The sequence below is a fragment of the Homo sapiens genome, chromosome 3 (assembly GCF_000001405.40).
Source record: "Homo sapiens chromosome 3, GRCh38.p14 Primary Assembly".
In the NCBI taxonomy this organism is placed as follows: Eukaryota; Metazoa; Chordata; class Mammalia; order Primates; family Hominidae; genus Homo; species Homo sapiens.
Window position 1 is genome coordinate 74,487,912 of NC_000003.12, and position 17,402 is coordinate 74,505,313.

The 17,402-nt window shown below is 35.6% G+C and overlaps 1 protein-coding gene across 4 annotated transcripts in view; it reads right to left on the reverse strand.

Moving 5' to 3' along the window:
• CNTN3 (contactin 3) overlaps positions 1–17,402 on the reverse strand; it is a 352,092-nt gene that overhangs the window by 225,344 nt on the left and 109,346 nt on the right. For 3 of the 4 annotated variants that reach the window (NM_020872.3, NM_001393376.1, XM_011533768.3), the window contains one exon: positions 11,748–11,874. In NM_020872.3, the coding sequence (NP_065923.1) occupies positions 11,748–11,874 (127 nt within the window). Of the gene's footprint in view, positions 1–5,100; positions 5,151–11,747; positions 11,875–17,402 lie in introns of those variants that run through there. The other variant, XM_017006508.2, reaches the window with a different exon arrangement.

Below are 17,402 nucleotides of genomic sequence, written 5' to 3' on the forward strand. Positions count from 1 at the left end.
TGACGTTTATAATTTTCAGATCTTTTAAAATACACTTACATTATAATGTATAATACATTAAAATATATAATCATTATACATAATTATTTTATATATTTATATATAATTATACTGTATAATTATATAGTGTAATACATCAATATTACATAATTATTAATTATGTACTAAGTGTATTTTAAAAGGTATGAAAATTATAAACCTCAACTTTTTTTTTGTTTGAGACAGAGTCTCCCTCTGTCTCCCAGGCTGGAGTGTAGGTGGTGCGATCTCAGCTCACGGCAAGCTCTGCCTCCTGAGCTCACGCCATTCTCCTGCCTCAGCCTCCAGAGTAGCTGGGACTACAGGCGCCCGACACCACGCCTGGCTAATTTTTTTGTATTTTTAGTAGAGACAGGGTTTCACCGTGTTAGCCAGGATGGTCTCGATCTCCTGACCTCGTGATCCGCCCAGCTCGGCCTCCCAAAGTGCTGAGATTACAGGAGTGAGCCACTGCACCCGGCCATAAACTTCAACTTTAAGGTATTTTAAAGCTCTCATGGAGAGAGAGTAGGAAATTTAGCTTTTTTGGTTTTAGTTCTTAAATTAAGAAGTAATTATATGGATGTTTATCATTATGCCCTATTGTATGTCTGTATCATTTTCTATATCTGAAATAATGCATAATGAAGTTTTAATGACTGAGTAGTAAAGAAAATGGGTGAGTTTATAAGTTTAATCCTTACTGCTCAAAGTTTATTTTATCATTTGCTAATTTTAAAAATCAAGGCTTTCTCACTTTTTCTGTTTTCCTTCACATATGACCTCCTCAGGTCTTAAAGCAACATTTTTAATAAGAAGACCCAAATGAAATTAAGAGAATAAACTGGAGGTTCCATTCCAACTCTTCTCTTTTGAACTGGAACAAAATTAGAAAGAAAAATCTGCAACATCTTTTTCATTTACGGCAGATTTCTGCTATTGGTTTTTGTTTGGTTTATTTGCAAAGTAAACTCTCTTATTATCCTTCCCAAATCAAGTCCATATCTCATGAACATTTGTGTCACTATGTCTCATTTTGATTTTAAGTCTACCCTTAAGGTTTGAATTTGAACTGGGAGCACTCATAAACCTTCTTTCATCTTATTCCATCCCAAGTCCTAGAACTACAGAAATTCAGAAAAGCAAGTAAAATAAAGAAAAAGTATCCATTCACACTCCTTGTGAATACTCTGAAACACAATATGGTCTGCAGGCCAGCATTATCACCCCATGAGAGTCTGTTGGAGACGCAGAATCTATGGCCCTAAACCATATCTACTGAGTCAGAATCTGCATCTTAAGATTTCCCAGTGACTAATATGCATATTCAAGTTTGAGAAGAACTGATCTAGACCATCCCCAACAAGTAACCATGGACTGCCTACAGTAGACACAAGCAGAAAAGAACTGCTCACTTTTAATTTAGCCTATTTCATATTCAACAACCGATTAGAAAGCCCTTCCCTCCCTCCTCCCCTTCCCTTCCTCCCTCCCTCCCTTCTTTCTTTTCTTCCTTCCCTTCCTCCCTTCCTCCCTTCCTCTCTCCCTCCCTTCTTCCCAATCAGTAAAAAAACATTTATGAAGTGTCTATACTGGGCAATTTTCTATGTTCTGAAGTTGTGGTAAAAGGTCCCTGACTTCATGAAGCTCACATTTTTTAGATTTTTTCCCCTAGTTTCCTAGTTTCTGTTCCCACCCCCACCCCTCCGCCTAATCCCCAGGCCTTAGTCATGCCTTTCAACCAACAGCATAATGAAAAGAAATGGGATTTGGTACCAACTGCTCATTGGTTTATCAGTTGGACTCACCTGACACCCACTGCATGACCATGGAAAATTACCTAACACCCCTGAACCTAAGCTTTTAACATATAAAATGGAGAGAATGCCATCTATCCCATAGGATTGCTCTTCAAATTTATTCAGACAATGTATGCAAAGCTCTCAGCTCAGTGCTTCCACAGGGAAGGCATTCAACAAACGGGCAAATATCATGGTTAGTATGGGAGGAGGTCCCATCAAAGGCTGCAAACCCATCTGTCCCCTTTGCTTCTCTTCTGTTCCATTCCCATCAAGCACATGTTGGTTCTATGTTCGATTGAATGCTTTTAGTCCTCTCCTTTTACATGGAACAGACTATGTCTTCCACCTATGGCTGGATGACATTGGTACCTGCCCTGAGATGTCAGCAAAAAGTGGGATGAGAATACATACTGACATTGACTTTTAAAGAATACATCTGACAGTAAATCACAAGTGGGTGGGTTTAATTTTTAAGCTGTAAGAGATTTCTCAGTTACTAAGTGACTAAATGCTTGCAGCGGGAAAAGCTCCTCTAAACCCAAATCAGAAAAGATGCAGTTAAGTTCAAACACTTTTGAAGGAAAGACTCTCATGACAAAGGGCACTTGAGTTTATCTTATCTAAGAAGAGCAGTTTTTATAGGAAAAAACACTTTTTAGCTCAGGACTTAGAATGTTTATGGCCTGACTAAGCATGCCTGATGGCTTCATTTGAAAATTGTGTTTTTCTGTTTAGCTGAAGAATAATCAAGGTACAGTGGCTATATGGAAAATTTTAAAGATAAAAAAATATGGAGAAGCACTTATTCTTACATATTTAACAGATGGAAAGATTTAAGAAACCATAAAGTATGCTGGAATATACTTTATTTCATTAGGTGTCCAAGATGTAAAACTATCATCCTTATGTTTTGACTGAAGAATCAAAAGGAGAAAGATTTGTTCCATTACACACAAACGCTTCTCACTTCCTTTAGTTCGGTCTTCATCATACAGACACAATCTCTAGATTATTTCACTATATGAAAAGGCAAAGACTATTATTTTTAAAATATGTTCCTGCATTTTTAAATATGTTCCCAAAGTATTAGTGTATTCACGTTAGTAAACTCTTTAGAGCTAAAATATACTTGCCATAACCAGAAGAATGTTAATTTTCTTTTAACAAAGCAATATAATTATTTTTCTCCTGCCTAATACTATTCATCATTAAATGGAACTCACCCCAGGTTATATAAAATTTCTCAATATCTTATTAAACACTGATTGTTTTTCCTCTTGCTGAAAATATGTGAGCTCAAAAGGGGTGTCTTTGTTTAAACTCTGAAATGTGCAAGTAATCTCTGGGCCTAAGCTGCCAACAGATATTAATATTTTATCCTGAGAAACAAACTAGTATATGTAAGTTCCCAATGCAAAATACTCATATTTGGGACTGATTTCTAAGTATGTCTAGTATTTTCATTCATGTAAGAAATGAATAATAAGGGCCAGGCACAGTGGCTCATGCCTGTAATCCTAGTACTTTGGGAGGCCAAGCTGGGAAGATCTCTTGGAGCCAGTAGTTTGAGACCAGCCTGGGCAACACGGAGAAACCATCTTTACAAAAAAAAAATGTGAAAATTAGCCAGGTGTGATGGCATGTGCTTGTAGTCCCAGCTACTCGGGAGACTAAGGTGAGAGGGCTTAAGCCTGGAAGATGGAAGTTGCTGCCAGCTGAGATGGCACCACTGCACTCCAGTGTTGGCAACAGAACCAGATCCTGTCTCAAAAAACAAAAAACAAAAAACAAACAAACAAAAAAAACTTGAAGGGATACGCAGGTTCAGCTCCTTCTTTTACAAAGTATGTGTCCAATAAATCTTCAAATTAGACTCATTTTCTTTGCAGGAAACTGTAATCCAACTGTCTGGGCTTCATGAACACAACATTCAAACATTCAGTAGTAAGCTGTGACAGGTAAATGGCACACTCAGGTCATAAATTTGGGAAGCTTTTAGTAGTAAACATTGCCTTTTGGTTCTGCATATTCATAATTCTTTGTAAAAATTACAAATTTCTACTTTTACCAAGGAATTTAAAAGTTCACCAGGAACTCTAAGTATCAGAATGAAATCTTTTTGAAATATGAAAATTATGTAAAACTTCATAAAAGTATATTTGTATACCCAAATCCCATTCCAAAAGGCTTAATGCAGTGATCTGGAACAAAAGAAGACAACCTCGTGTCTCTTGGGGCTACACACCCCAGCATTTCAATCATATAACATTTACATTGTGCTCCAGAAGCAGAGTAGCCTTGTAGCTTCAGCTTGGTGGTAAATGTCACAAGATTAAACACTGTTGCATAATTATCATGTTGTAACACACTTGAATGATCCTACAAGTTCAGTGTCAGCCTTCAGTGTTCAAACACTCATTTTACACAAATTAGAATCTGCTTTTAGAATCACAAGTGAGAAATGATTTATTACTCATATTTCACAAATCTAGTAATTCTCAATGAGCTTTCATCCTCTTAAACTGGTTTGTGTGAAGGTTCTATGTGAACTTGTGTCTCAGTCAATAATCAGAGAGAAATATTTGGGGTACTGGAATTAGAAGTCCTGGGTTACTGGCCTACTTAAGGGAGCGTATCTTTGATCAATCCCCTTCTTTTAAATCTTAGTTACATTCTCTACACACAACAGGGACACTGGCTAGAAAAGGTAGTGTCTGAGAGAACTGGACCAAGCCTAATAAAATATAATGGTGGAGTCTAAAGCAGATTTCCACCTATAAATGAATTTGAATACAATTTCCTTAAAACAGCTGCATGCCCTGAGGCCAACAATTTTTGATTCCTGAATAGAAAGCATAATATACCTGACATAGGAGTTATTTCAAAACTGGTAGTTATTACTCCTAAATGATAAAAACTTTCATTGTCACTTTCAGGAAATAAACTAAAACATCAGTGGCTGAGGGTATAAAAATCACTGCCTTCCAACACAAAGAACAAACTATGTTTGAGAGACAGAAAGAAAACGAATGTGTGTGTGTGTGTATGTGTGTGCCTGTAAACACAAATTTGTATAATAATGAGTTAAATCAGTAAAAAAGCCTAAATTCTAAGAGTCAAAAGGTGCTTTTCAAAGTATGTAAACTCCACTGGATAATGACTATTTCAATCACTGTTGAATTTCTACCATCAGGCATCATATTTTGTACATGACAGGGACTAATAGAAGTTTCTTGAATAAAGCAATCTAATTCTATTTTCTACCCTAGCCATTACTAACCTCCGCATAGTCTTCACGGACTGTGGTCATCCATATTGCCAATAAACAATCTTAAAGATAGAGGGAATTAATACATCATTATTTTCCTTTATCTTACTAGTTATTATTATTTAACATATTAGGTATTATCAGAAATGGCAACCTTTTCACAAAACCACACTAGCATATGGAATAACAATAATGAATATAAACACAGATCTATGTTGTCATTGCTATAATTTAAAGCAGCAGGCTCTAAATTGTGTCTTCCATTTGAACTTGCTAATAAGGCTAGGCAATATCACAACTTGAAATTGAAGCTAACAAAACCGACTTTAAGTAGTTTAAAAAATAAACCCCAAATAGAATTCACCTCACAGTTGATTATATAAAGCTATTGTCTTTCAGAATATCTACTCTGTCACACAAGATCTGGTCTGGACAATGGACATACAAACAACATTCTAGAGAGAAACAAACGTTGCATTTTAAACTTCAGCATGAACCAACGCGAAAAGAACAAAATAACTTACGAAAATTTGGGGGGGTCTGGGATTTGGGTTTAGGAAATATGCCCACACTAAACACTTGTTAAATCAACAGGCAATACTTTATTTGGGGTTTGACAGGAAAATTAGAAATTTAATCACAGAAGCAATTTGTGGTTTTAGATGCAGCTTTCAAGTTAATAAGCAAATGTGTCTGTGTTCAAATGCAATGTTTGTTAATATGTTTACTGAAGTGATGAGAATAATTGCAGCCTTCGAAAGAATGAATGTCTGAATTTGCATATTCAATACTTTATCCAAAAATAACTAGTTAGACTTCAGCAATAATTGCTAAAGACCTAAATGAGTTAAAGTTGCCATGCTGTTTTTTTAAAAAATTGAATGTTTAAAATGTGTTTTATGATATAGATTCCCATTTCTCACTCATCGATAAATTTTGAACATACATAAAAACATAAAACAGATTAGAGAGCCACATTGGGATTAAAAACAACTGTTCACTTTCCATGGTTCTAACCTGGTTCATATCAATCAGGGATTCTCTTAAAATTATTTCAAGGAGTGTTACAGATGTTTTCCCTTATTGCCTTCCCTGCAGCCATCTTAGCTTTTCCTGGTAGCAGCTCCTCTATTCTCCTTTAAAGCAGCCCTCCTCATACGAACCTGGCCTGGCCAGTCAGAACATTCCATGGCTCAACCTTACCGATTGCTTAAGAATGTGAATGTGACCCAACTGATTTAGCTTGTGTTTGATCAATACGTGTACATCCATTCCCCTTGCCCCACTGAAAAAACACAAGAAAGAGAAACAAAAAAAGGATATGATTTATTTTGTTATACTATCACCTTTAATATCTAAAATCTAACCTTTATGTCTCTGCTGGGTATTGACTACTGACAGGATTAGCTTCATTTTTATTTCACATTTTTCTGACACCATTTGGAGTTTTTGATGACATTTATTAGAAAGATACTCTACTCTTCCAGTTGACATTTTGCAGAAGAAATGAGTAGCCTGGAGTTCCAGGCAGCCATCTTTGTCACCTCAAGGCAATTTGTCTTTAAATGGAGCCAAAAAATAAGACTCAGTACAAATTTAAGAATATCTTACAGAATCAACTATTAACAACTTCTGACCCTGTGATCCTTCATGATATTATTGACTCCTGAAATATAATACAATCCCAAATTCCATTATTTGTTTTCCACCTTTTTACCTTTATACCACTTTGTTGATGCCACTAATTAGGCATTCACTATTTTGCTAGGCATTTGGAATGTAAGAATGAAGGACACACTTCACCGTTAAAGGTGTCTTCACTTTTAAAGGAGTTACAGCCTACTAGGGCAATCTGACTTCATTTTGATAAGCTTTATCATATAGGTAATGCAATGCAACGGTTGGGCACATTGTTTGAGCACAGAATCCAGCACTAAGGATGTCAAGAACGCTTCCTAGGAGAGATGATAGTGCAACCAAGTTTAAGTTGCCCAGTAAGAGGTGTATCTACCTCTGTTTGCCTCAGGCACTGTAGATATTCTTTAGTGTGTTTATGTTTTGTCTTCATTCCACCATGTGGCTATTTGATTACTCTCAAATGTGGCTGATTGTGGGTGTGGGGACCAGAGCTCACCAGCTGGAGAAGCCAGGATGTGGAAAGGAGTTGAACTTGAGCATGAACACAGAGATCTGGACTTATAAATCTGACAAAAAGGATTTCATTTCTTTAAGTGCCAAAATAATTTAGAGGAACAATAACTCGTCTTGACACATAAAAGTAAAATAACAATGATATCAGATCTTACATAGCAATAAGAAATATGTAAAGGACAAATTGCATATAATCAAAATTATGCTTAAAATGTCATATATATGCTATATTATGATAGACTAGCATATAGCACATATACTATATATGTACTATATATTCTAAAAATGGAACACTATATGTATATAGAATTGACAGCATACACATAGTGTGTGTATATATACATATAGCACCAAATACAGTACTATGTATAGTACTCTGTGTGCCTAGATATATATTACTGTGTCAATATATAGACAAGAAATAAACTCAGACTTCCCTTCCTTACATCCACTCCTTGAATAAATGGTTAGCAGAATTTAGCACATTATTTTATTTTCCCTTTCTTTCTTATACTGAATGCATTTAGTTGACTATCAGTAAATTAAATGCATTCAGTTGACTATCAGTAAATTAAATATGTGCAGGATGTGACTCCATTATAGACAACCATGTTTAAGGGCAACTGTGGCCAGGAAAGACCTCCACTTTGCAATGATATTTAGCCCTTACAACTTCTGTATCCAAGATTCCTTACACTCTATTAAAATTGTTTACCTGTTCCTATAGAGCTGAAAGAGAATAACGTTCTGTTTACTTCCTTGTGAAGAGAGAAAAATGAAAGCATTTATAGAAAAGAGTTGTGGGCCCAGGGGTCGACCTGAAACATTCTGCAAGCCTGGACATATTCATCTGTACTGTCAAATACAGTGGCAACTAGCCACACGTGGCTACCAAGCACTTGAAATGAAGCTTCTGTGACTGAACAACTGAATTTTTAATTTAACTTAATTGATTTAAATTTCAAGGGCCACATGTGATTACTGGCTACCATATTGGACAGCAAACCTCTAAGTCTTGAGCTAGACTAAAAGTTGGAAACACAAGGCCCACATGGGCCACATTCAGACTTACGACTTACCTTTTTTGGTCTACATTATGTTTTAAAAGAAAAACAGAGTTAACAGTAAAGTTAGAGATTCCAAAATGAAAATATCTAAATTGTAAAACTCTCTTAGAAAGCTTTGGTAATACCGGACCAGGATTCCTAGATGGTAACAATTGGCCAGTGCTGAGAAGCAGTTATGATCACATAATGATAGGCTTAGGGTTGAATGATAGACAGTTTCCAGTCATTATTCAATATGTCTATATGTTCTTCAGGCAGGCCTTCCTCTTTCAAAGTTGTTATTTGCCTGGTCCCTGTTGGCATGTACCTATTTTACCCCAATCTCACTGAAACAAGTGGCCCCTTTAAATGGCATCAGCAGCAGCGACCAGGGATTCTCCTATTTGTGGTCTTTCATCTTAGCATTAGTTGATTGGACATTTCTAACCCCATAAAAAGTGGAAGAAAATATTTCCCATTTAGAAAAAGTATTAATACTTCCTCAGGGTAACCTCCTTCAGCACTATCAGCAGTTACAATGAGATTGAATACTAATTAACCTTTAAATATAGGCTTTGGGGCTCAGGCAGGGAACTGCAAAAGAAAGAATAAAATCCTCAATTAAACCCTAAGACGAGTAATTTCTCTTGAGAATTTCTGAACTTTTGGATTTCCAACATGGCCAATTAAGAGTTCTTTTTACCTGATGGGATAAAAACAAAGACAAGATCACTCTTCAGACAAGTTGGCATCAGTCTATAAGGCAGGATTTGGTCTTTCAAAGGACATTCTTTTACAAGATTCTTTAACTTTATTCTGAATCCTTAAAAACATGTTTGGATTGCCTTTAACAAGTGGTTTCACATGGCTCCTTAATATTCCTCCTTGGCTGTCTCTCTATCTGCTTATATTTATGATTATATATGTTAAAAAATACTTTTTCTGACTTCATGTAAAAAGATCCACCATATTCTTCCTTTTTATGTCCTCGATGTCATTATATATTTAGAGTATTTATTTGTGATTTTTGAAGGACAATAAAAAAATAGGAATAGGCAAGCATATTTTATTCTGAACCATTTTAAAGAATAATGTGAAATATTGCCTAGCTGAATATTAAAATTAAAAGGTAGGAAAAAAATAGGCCAAAAATAAAGATGTCATCTAAAAAGACAAATTTGTCATTACAACCCACATTATTCCATATCCCATTTACTGCAGTGGCACAATCTATTTCTTACTCAGATAACATGAATAACAAGGGGTTGTTTCTTCTTAAAACAGAGTCTGATATTTCTTAGAATGAAACGAGCTTCTCTTGTGTTTTCTAGGTCTCAATTTCTAGTGGTCATAAACTTTTAGTTTAAGTGAAATTTTATATTGGTTAGAAATCTTAATTTTAGAAAATTTTTAAAGTTATAAGGAAAGTATCTGCTCTATTTGGCTACAAACCAAAAATCATCAAACAATACCAAACATGTTAAATTTCTTCATTTATCAAACCTAAAACTAATAAATCAGCCCAAATCACACATCTCCTAGTCTCAGTAACAGATTTTGTTAAAATTGCAACATATAAATGCCAGGATGACATCCCAGGACGTATAATAAAACAAGAATCACTATGCAAACAGTGAAACTTCTTTATCAACATTTTACATGTTATCAATATATTTAAATACAGACTCCATGGCATTACAATAGGCACCTGTTATTTAAAGACATAATTACTACACAAGGTTATTTTTGGATATCTAAGCTCAAGACCTTTGGCTATTTGATAAAACTATACAAACATAATTAATCTATTCATTTAGAAATACATTCCTATATGACTAAATCTTGTATCTTGACAACTTTTCAGGTGAACACATTTATCACCAAATTATTCGTAAGATAAACACCAGGAAATACAACTTTACTGACAACAGAAAAACAGCCCACACATGAGTCATTCACATGGCTGCTTTATCATATTTACAGCTATGTCTATGAGAATAATCTTTCATTTCAGGGAGAAACAAACAGATGCATTTAAAAGGTGTTAGAATGCCTTACAAAAATGCTGGAAAAAAATATTGTTAAGCTGATCTGTTCAACTTTCCCCATAAGAAGAAAATATTTCCAGATGTTGCATATGCTTATGTCTGATTAATGGAACTAGTTCATGAAATAGTTTCTTCCTTTTATAAATGATTTTATTAAATAACTTTCTTATTTCTATAGAAAGAGGTAGAGGCAGAGAAAAACTTTTTCTCATCTTTGCCAACTCTAATCAGTAACCTGGAATTATAATGCTTATTTTGTTGAAGTACACAATAGGGCCCCAATAAATATGTTGTTAAATATTGTTGAAAGAGACTGATCTTGATTACTTCCAGATGCAAAAATACAAAACCTACCTTCTACCCCAATCTTGACCCAGTTTACCAATGACTATTGGCTTCAATTATTTATATAGTTTAAGAGAACAATAGAGGCTCAATAAGATCTAAATTACAACTCTAAACATTTAAAATTTTATTAATACTGGCTGAAGTTTGCTTGTTCTGCAGATTATAGAAAAGGTTTTGTCAAGAAAACTAATAGTGTGAATGGGGTTTTCATAGTAGATGTTCACATTGCATGAAAGAGCGTGTTGTTTTAAAGGTGTCTTGAATACTTTCTTTCAACCACTTATAAGAATGCAGCATGTAATTTATAAATAATTCATCTCTTCATGAAAGTGGGTCTCCCAAGCACTCCTAAGAGTAAAAATGATTAATCCTGGGTTATTTAATAATACAAATACCCATCTGATCCAAATAATCCATCATCATCCCCAAAATATCAATATTTTTTTCTTAAGGTGGTGGGAGTATGGATTTTTTTTTCTTTTTTCCTTATACTTTGCATGATATTTGAAAGTTTTCAGTGAAGAGCAATTGTTTATATAATCTTAAAAATATAGACTTTAACTTGATATACATCTAACAAATGAAATACGTTTTCTCTTCAAAAATCATTAAAATGACTTTGGTAAGAATACATTTTATTCTTCCTTACTTATTGAACCTCCAAGCACATATCCAGTAAAATGGTAAACGGACAAAAGGTGGCACACAGAAGTATTTGTTTAACTATGATTTCAAATTAACTTTAAAACACAATTTCATCCCCACAATGAATGTGTTCTTGACAAGTACATGTAAATCCAAGTTTATAAATTAAACTGCACTATACATCAATGAAAAGACATTATTTACTTTAGGGATTCTGCCATGATCAATAATTAATCAAGTATATGCTACATATAGATTTAAATCTTCATATATTAAATCTGTTGAATATATCATACAACTATAGCTTCACGTATTTTTTTCTTACTGATGGCATAAATATATTGAAGCAAAAAAAAATTCACAATCACCACATAAGTGTGTTTAGTTTTTTTTATTTGAATTTTCAAACTTTTCACTGTACCTGTAATGAGGTGATGGATTGCCTCTTGCTTCACAATGCAAAGTTATTTTTTTATCTTCTGAACCAACAGGGAAAATGCTGTTGCTGGGTTCTTTGATAAATACAGGGCCTTGTAAGAGAAGCTCACCTATATGGGTGGGAGACATCCAAAAAATAATAATCAGTAAAAGGCATTGTAAAAAGTTACATTCCAGTATTGAAGAAAACAAGGAACTAAAAATTCTAGTACTGCTCCATTTGCATACAAAGCAAAATGCTCTGTAGACATTGTTTTGTTAAAGGAAATCAATTAACCCACTCAACAGCATAGTACCACCTCTATGAGAACTAACGTTGGTATGAAAAATATTGCCATATTAAGATCATTTCATACCGCAGCAATTACTTTTTATTACAACAAACTACATCTAAGTGTAGATTGGTGAATAAACTATTACACCAAGTCTTTCTTGTCATAGCCTTTTTGCCAAACTAAAGCTGAATTCAAAATGAATTCAACACCTGAGTATTTTCATAAAATCGGCTTGGCATGCAAACCTTAAGCTTGATAATGTTATTTTTCTAGTTGGAATAAAAACACTCAATATTTTGGTGGGATGTCCATTTTATTACTAGCAAATTGAAGAGAAAGATACAGCACTGAACAGGCGTCTTTTTAAAGATGTTTCTACTTTGGCTAAGAGAACTTGAACATGCTCTGAGGAGAATTTCCACATAGAGAAAAAAAAACAAATCTCTCTATTGTACTACGTGTTTAAAAAAGAACAAGATAATGCCACCACCAAATGCTTATGGGACTGCAGTTGTATAATCTTTGCCATAGCATTTCTGAAAACAAACAAATTCGCCCAAAAAAAAAAAAAAGCTCTTTACTTTCCTATTTTGCTTGGAATGCTCAGCAAAATTACAGAGGAGTTTCTATTAACTCAGAGAATGAATAAACAGACTAAGAGACAAAGAATCCGTGAAAAGTCAGACAAAGAAAACGAGATCAAGAAGCAGCAAAAAAGGCCCTAAAACAATGAACTGGCATTTTGGCTACTTCGAATAGCAGTTTACATTAATAAAAATATTTATCATAAGTGTAACAACAATAAAGTAACAATATGATTAAAATAATCATTGAAATGATAAAAATAGCAGCTGCTAAAGCTGAAATTCTAAAGTAAATTCTGCATGCCCAAATGTGTTCATTAATCCTCAGAATATTCTGTGAGGTAAATGCCATAATTATTCCCAACAGAAGACAAATGCTGTGCCTAAGAGTGGTTAGGCGGCATGAGCAAGTTCACACAGCATTGCAGAATGTAAAACACATATTCTAGAATAATGGATTCCACAGTCCGTGCAGGGATACTCTCTCACTCTTTATGTAAGGAATTTGGCCTTACCCTAGGTCTGATCTTTGCCCTCAGCTTCCAGGAGGAAATCTGTGCCATAGCTGATTGAAATGTCTGTTTAGGATGGGGACTGGCCACACTAGATCTTAGGGTGGGGCCAGCCACACCCAATAGTCTTGCCTTGGAAACTGGCCACATCAGACAGACTAACCATGTGATTAAGGGTGAGAAATTTGGGTCACGTGGTATCAAATGACGTGGAGACTGAGCTCAACCACATGTGCAACCAGTCAGTCACACCTACATAATAAGGTCTCAATAAATAACTCTAGACACGGAGGCTCAACGAGTTCCTGGTTGGCTATCATACTCCTTGAGTATTGTCACACATCGATACCGGAAGGGTCAGATGTCCTGTGGTCAATAAAAGCTGTGCGTTTGAAACCTTCCAGACTCTGCCCCATGTGTGTCTTCCTCTAGCTGATTTTAGTATGGATCCTTTCCCTGTAAATAACATAACTGTGAGTATAACAGTTTTCAGCAACGTTTGTAAGTCCTTTTAGCAAATTATCAAAAATGAGGATAGTTTAGAAACTTCTTAAACTCAAAGACTGTTAGAAGTAAGGGCAAGCTCACAGCTCAGCTGACTCGGGGCAACTTTGCACCACGACATCACCACACAATTAGCCCTTACTAATCCCCACCATCCTTTGAGAAAGCAGCTTGCTATCCCCCTTAGTCTCTGATCTTTACCTGATCATTACTTTCATCTATCAGGGGAAATTGCCAAAGGAAAAAAAAAAAGCTTCCGTTTCCCTTTTTAGGAAAGAGCAACTTCCAGAAGAAATGGATTTTAAAATTGCTACTAACACTCCTAATTTAAAAGAGGCAATATTGCTATTTTCTTCATTTTTGCCCCTCAACCAATTCACTGAATAGAAATAATAAGTAAAAACAAAAATGCCATTCTGTTCTATTAATTGAATTTATTGTCCTAGAAAGTCGAAAATATTTGTGATGTCTTTTTACAAATATTTGTAAATATAGTGAACATTTCCTAACATTTTTCTAGTGTAATAGCTTCTGATTTACTTCTGATAACATATATTTCATTATTTATGAGATGGGATAGCATCATTTTTTTCTGACAAATTCTGATGTTTGTACAGCTTGAAAGCAATAATGCATTAACATAATGGTATAAATTTGGAAATAACAGGAAAGTTGGGGAGATAAACCAAAAGAAGAAAGGTTAGTAGAGATAAGAAAGCAGTGGTTTAAACGAAAAAGGCAAAGAGAGGTGTTCAAAAAATTTCCTCTAAGTGGTCACAATAAAAACTCAAATGCCCATCCTATCATTATCTAATAAAAGTCATGTCCCAAACGATGCTACATGGCTTCTCCAGAGGTCACTATTAATTTTAAATAAAAATGTTAAACTACTAGGAGCATTTTCTTCTGAGATCCTTTTGAGAGAAGGATAATAACTACTAATTTGCTAACATTTATTGAACCAGGCACCATGAACTATGTGCCAGGCACACTAAGCAGCTATTTACATCCTTTGCTTCTCCTATTTCAATCTCCCCTGACCCCAGCTCCTGATCTCTGAGGTCCAGCCACACTGCTCTTGTTCCTGCTTCTCAGACACGCTGAGCTTCGTGTCACTTCTGGGCTGACACATTTGTTCTCCTTGTGTTCTGGTTTCTTTTTGTCATTCAGAATTTAGCATAAATGTCACCTTCTCAGCTTAAATGTGACCATCCGCATTCTCCCTCATCCAAAGTCATTATACACCCTTCATTTCCACCAGTCACAGATATCAAAGCACATCTCACAACCTTACGAGATCTTTCTACATAAACACTACGCATGTTTATGCATGTGTTTGTTATTTATTTGTATCGAATTCATTGCTGTATACTCAGCTCTTAGAACACAGTAGATATTCAATATCTGTCTGTAGAATGAATAAGATGAATGAAACAATCCTCATAATAACTCTATATGAGGCAGATACTATTTTACAGCTAGTGATTGATAAAGCTAAGATTTTAATTTCAGAGCTCATCTTCTCACCTTGCACGTGGTTTGGCCTCCCCAGAAGTGAGGCCTAGAAAGGTTAAATGACCTGACCATAGTAACAGAGTTTCTTGGTGAAAGACCTGATATCAACCCTAGTCCTCATATTCTTGGTTTGTTTCCCTTTCCATGAAGCCACACTGTTCTCAATATGGTCAGAGGTGAAAATTAACCAACAGCCTGCTTTTTCAACTTCAGTATTTCCTGATGGCGCTGGAGTTAATGGCCTATGAGGCACATATCTGCCATCTCTGAAATTTAAGGCTCCTAAAGGCTTTCAGGCCATCAGCAGCCATTTGGGAGCCTCTGACGCCTCTTAAAAAGTAAGTACAAAATAATAATCAAACGTGACAGGTCAGTGCATGCTTCATACTCAGAAAAGAGACAAGGCCTCTCAATCTTGCTTCACGGGAATGAAATAGGTGATGAGAGATGCTGGGTTTCATGTTCTAGTCTCTTGCCAGCAATATAAACTTAAAAGGAAGAGATTCTGAAGTCTCTGCTAATCTAAAAGAAATTATCCAACATTTTCTTCAAAATGAATTTTGATCCTCAAAAAGACAGAGCCTTGACTATTCACACAGCTATTCATAACCAGTAAAAAGCACCCTGTCTGAAAACAGAAGGGGGCCTTTTGCCTAACTAATGGATTCAACGTAACATTCGGATTGACGCTAAACTTTACTTTTTGTGACAGGGGCATTTTTTTGACATGCTAGCCTGGTTCCAAAGCTCCATTTTAAATGTACATCCTAAAATAAGGGGCATATCAGACTTCCGAACAGGACTAATAAGTCCAAAAATCCAATCCTAAGGTGTTATTTTTCCCCCCTAACACCTACAGGCAACAAGGAATAACTGCCTTTGAATGTAAGTACAAGCTTTATGAGCTCCTAAGGTAATGTCATGTAAAAGATCAAACCGCAGACGATCAATTCTAATGGTCATACTCTATACAATTTTTATGAAGACTGACAAAGAAAACATAGACAAGGGATTCTGGGCAAGCTGCATCACTCTACTAAAAGAAATGAGATTCCTAAAAGACAATGATGGTATCTGAAATTCCTAGGGAACAGGAAAGCACATACTGTTTTTCCTTACTGATTTATGTCATATCTACATGGAAAACAAAAACTAGCAGTGCATTTCAAAACACAGGGTAAATCACAACAGGGTGTAAGGGTAGGCAATGCAATTAAAGACAGAATGTAAGAGGACATAAATTTAGAAAGGAATATTCCGTGCACTTACAAGGCATCAATCCCAAACAGAATGAGCTCTAGCCTGGGTCAAAGAAAGTAAAATCATATGCCGCCAATGAAATAAGATCTATATTCTAGGTCCCACTATTCTTTAGGAAAAAACTTTTAAAAGATGGAAACTTTTTTTAGAAATGAGATATCTTCTATTTTGGCAATGGTAGTTTAAAGCTGGAAAATGCCAAAGAAACAAGACCAAAATAAAATTCCATTTATATGCTTCCAATGTCAGAGGAAGACAAAGTATTCGATCTTAGAATATTTCATTTCTTTAACAAATATCTGAATGCCAGACATGTGCCACATGTGAAAAACTGGCTGTGGCAGATGCTGCTGGTAGTCCACTCAATAGCTATCACCGGCCCTTCTTTCCAGCCCTTAGAGTCAGCCTTTCACTGTGGAGACTGAAAGCTCCAGAGATACTTTCCACAACTCTTTGTCATTCTCGGCTGGGAAGAAGGGTAGCCAGGGGAGATTGGCTTATGAGACCACTAAAAGCCCAAGAGGGTGTATTCATTTTCTAGGGTTGCTATAACAAAGTACCACAGACTGGGTGGCTTCCAAAACAGAATTTTTTGTCTCACAGTTCAGGGGGCTGAAAGTCTGTATCAAGGTGTTAGCAGGGTTGATTTCTTCTGAGGGTTGTGAGAGAAGGATCTGTTCCAGACCTCTCTGCTTGGCTTGTAGATGGCTATCTTCTCCCTGTATCTCTCTTCATATCATCTTCCCTTTATGTGTGTCTCTGTGTCCAAATTTCCCCTTTTTTCATATGGGCACCAGTCATAATGGATGAGGGCCCACACTAATGACCTCATCTTAACTAATGACATTAGCAATGACCCTATTTTCAAATAATAGGGTACTGGAGTTCAAGACTCCAACATGTGAATTGGGGATGAGGGTGGGGTAGCAGCACGATTCAACCTTTAACAATGGGTTAACCTGCTAAGAACTTCTAGATAAAAGTCTCT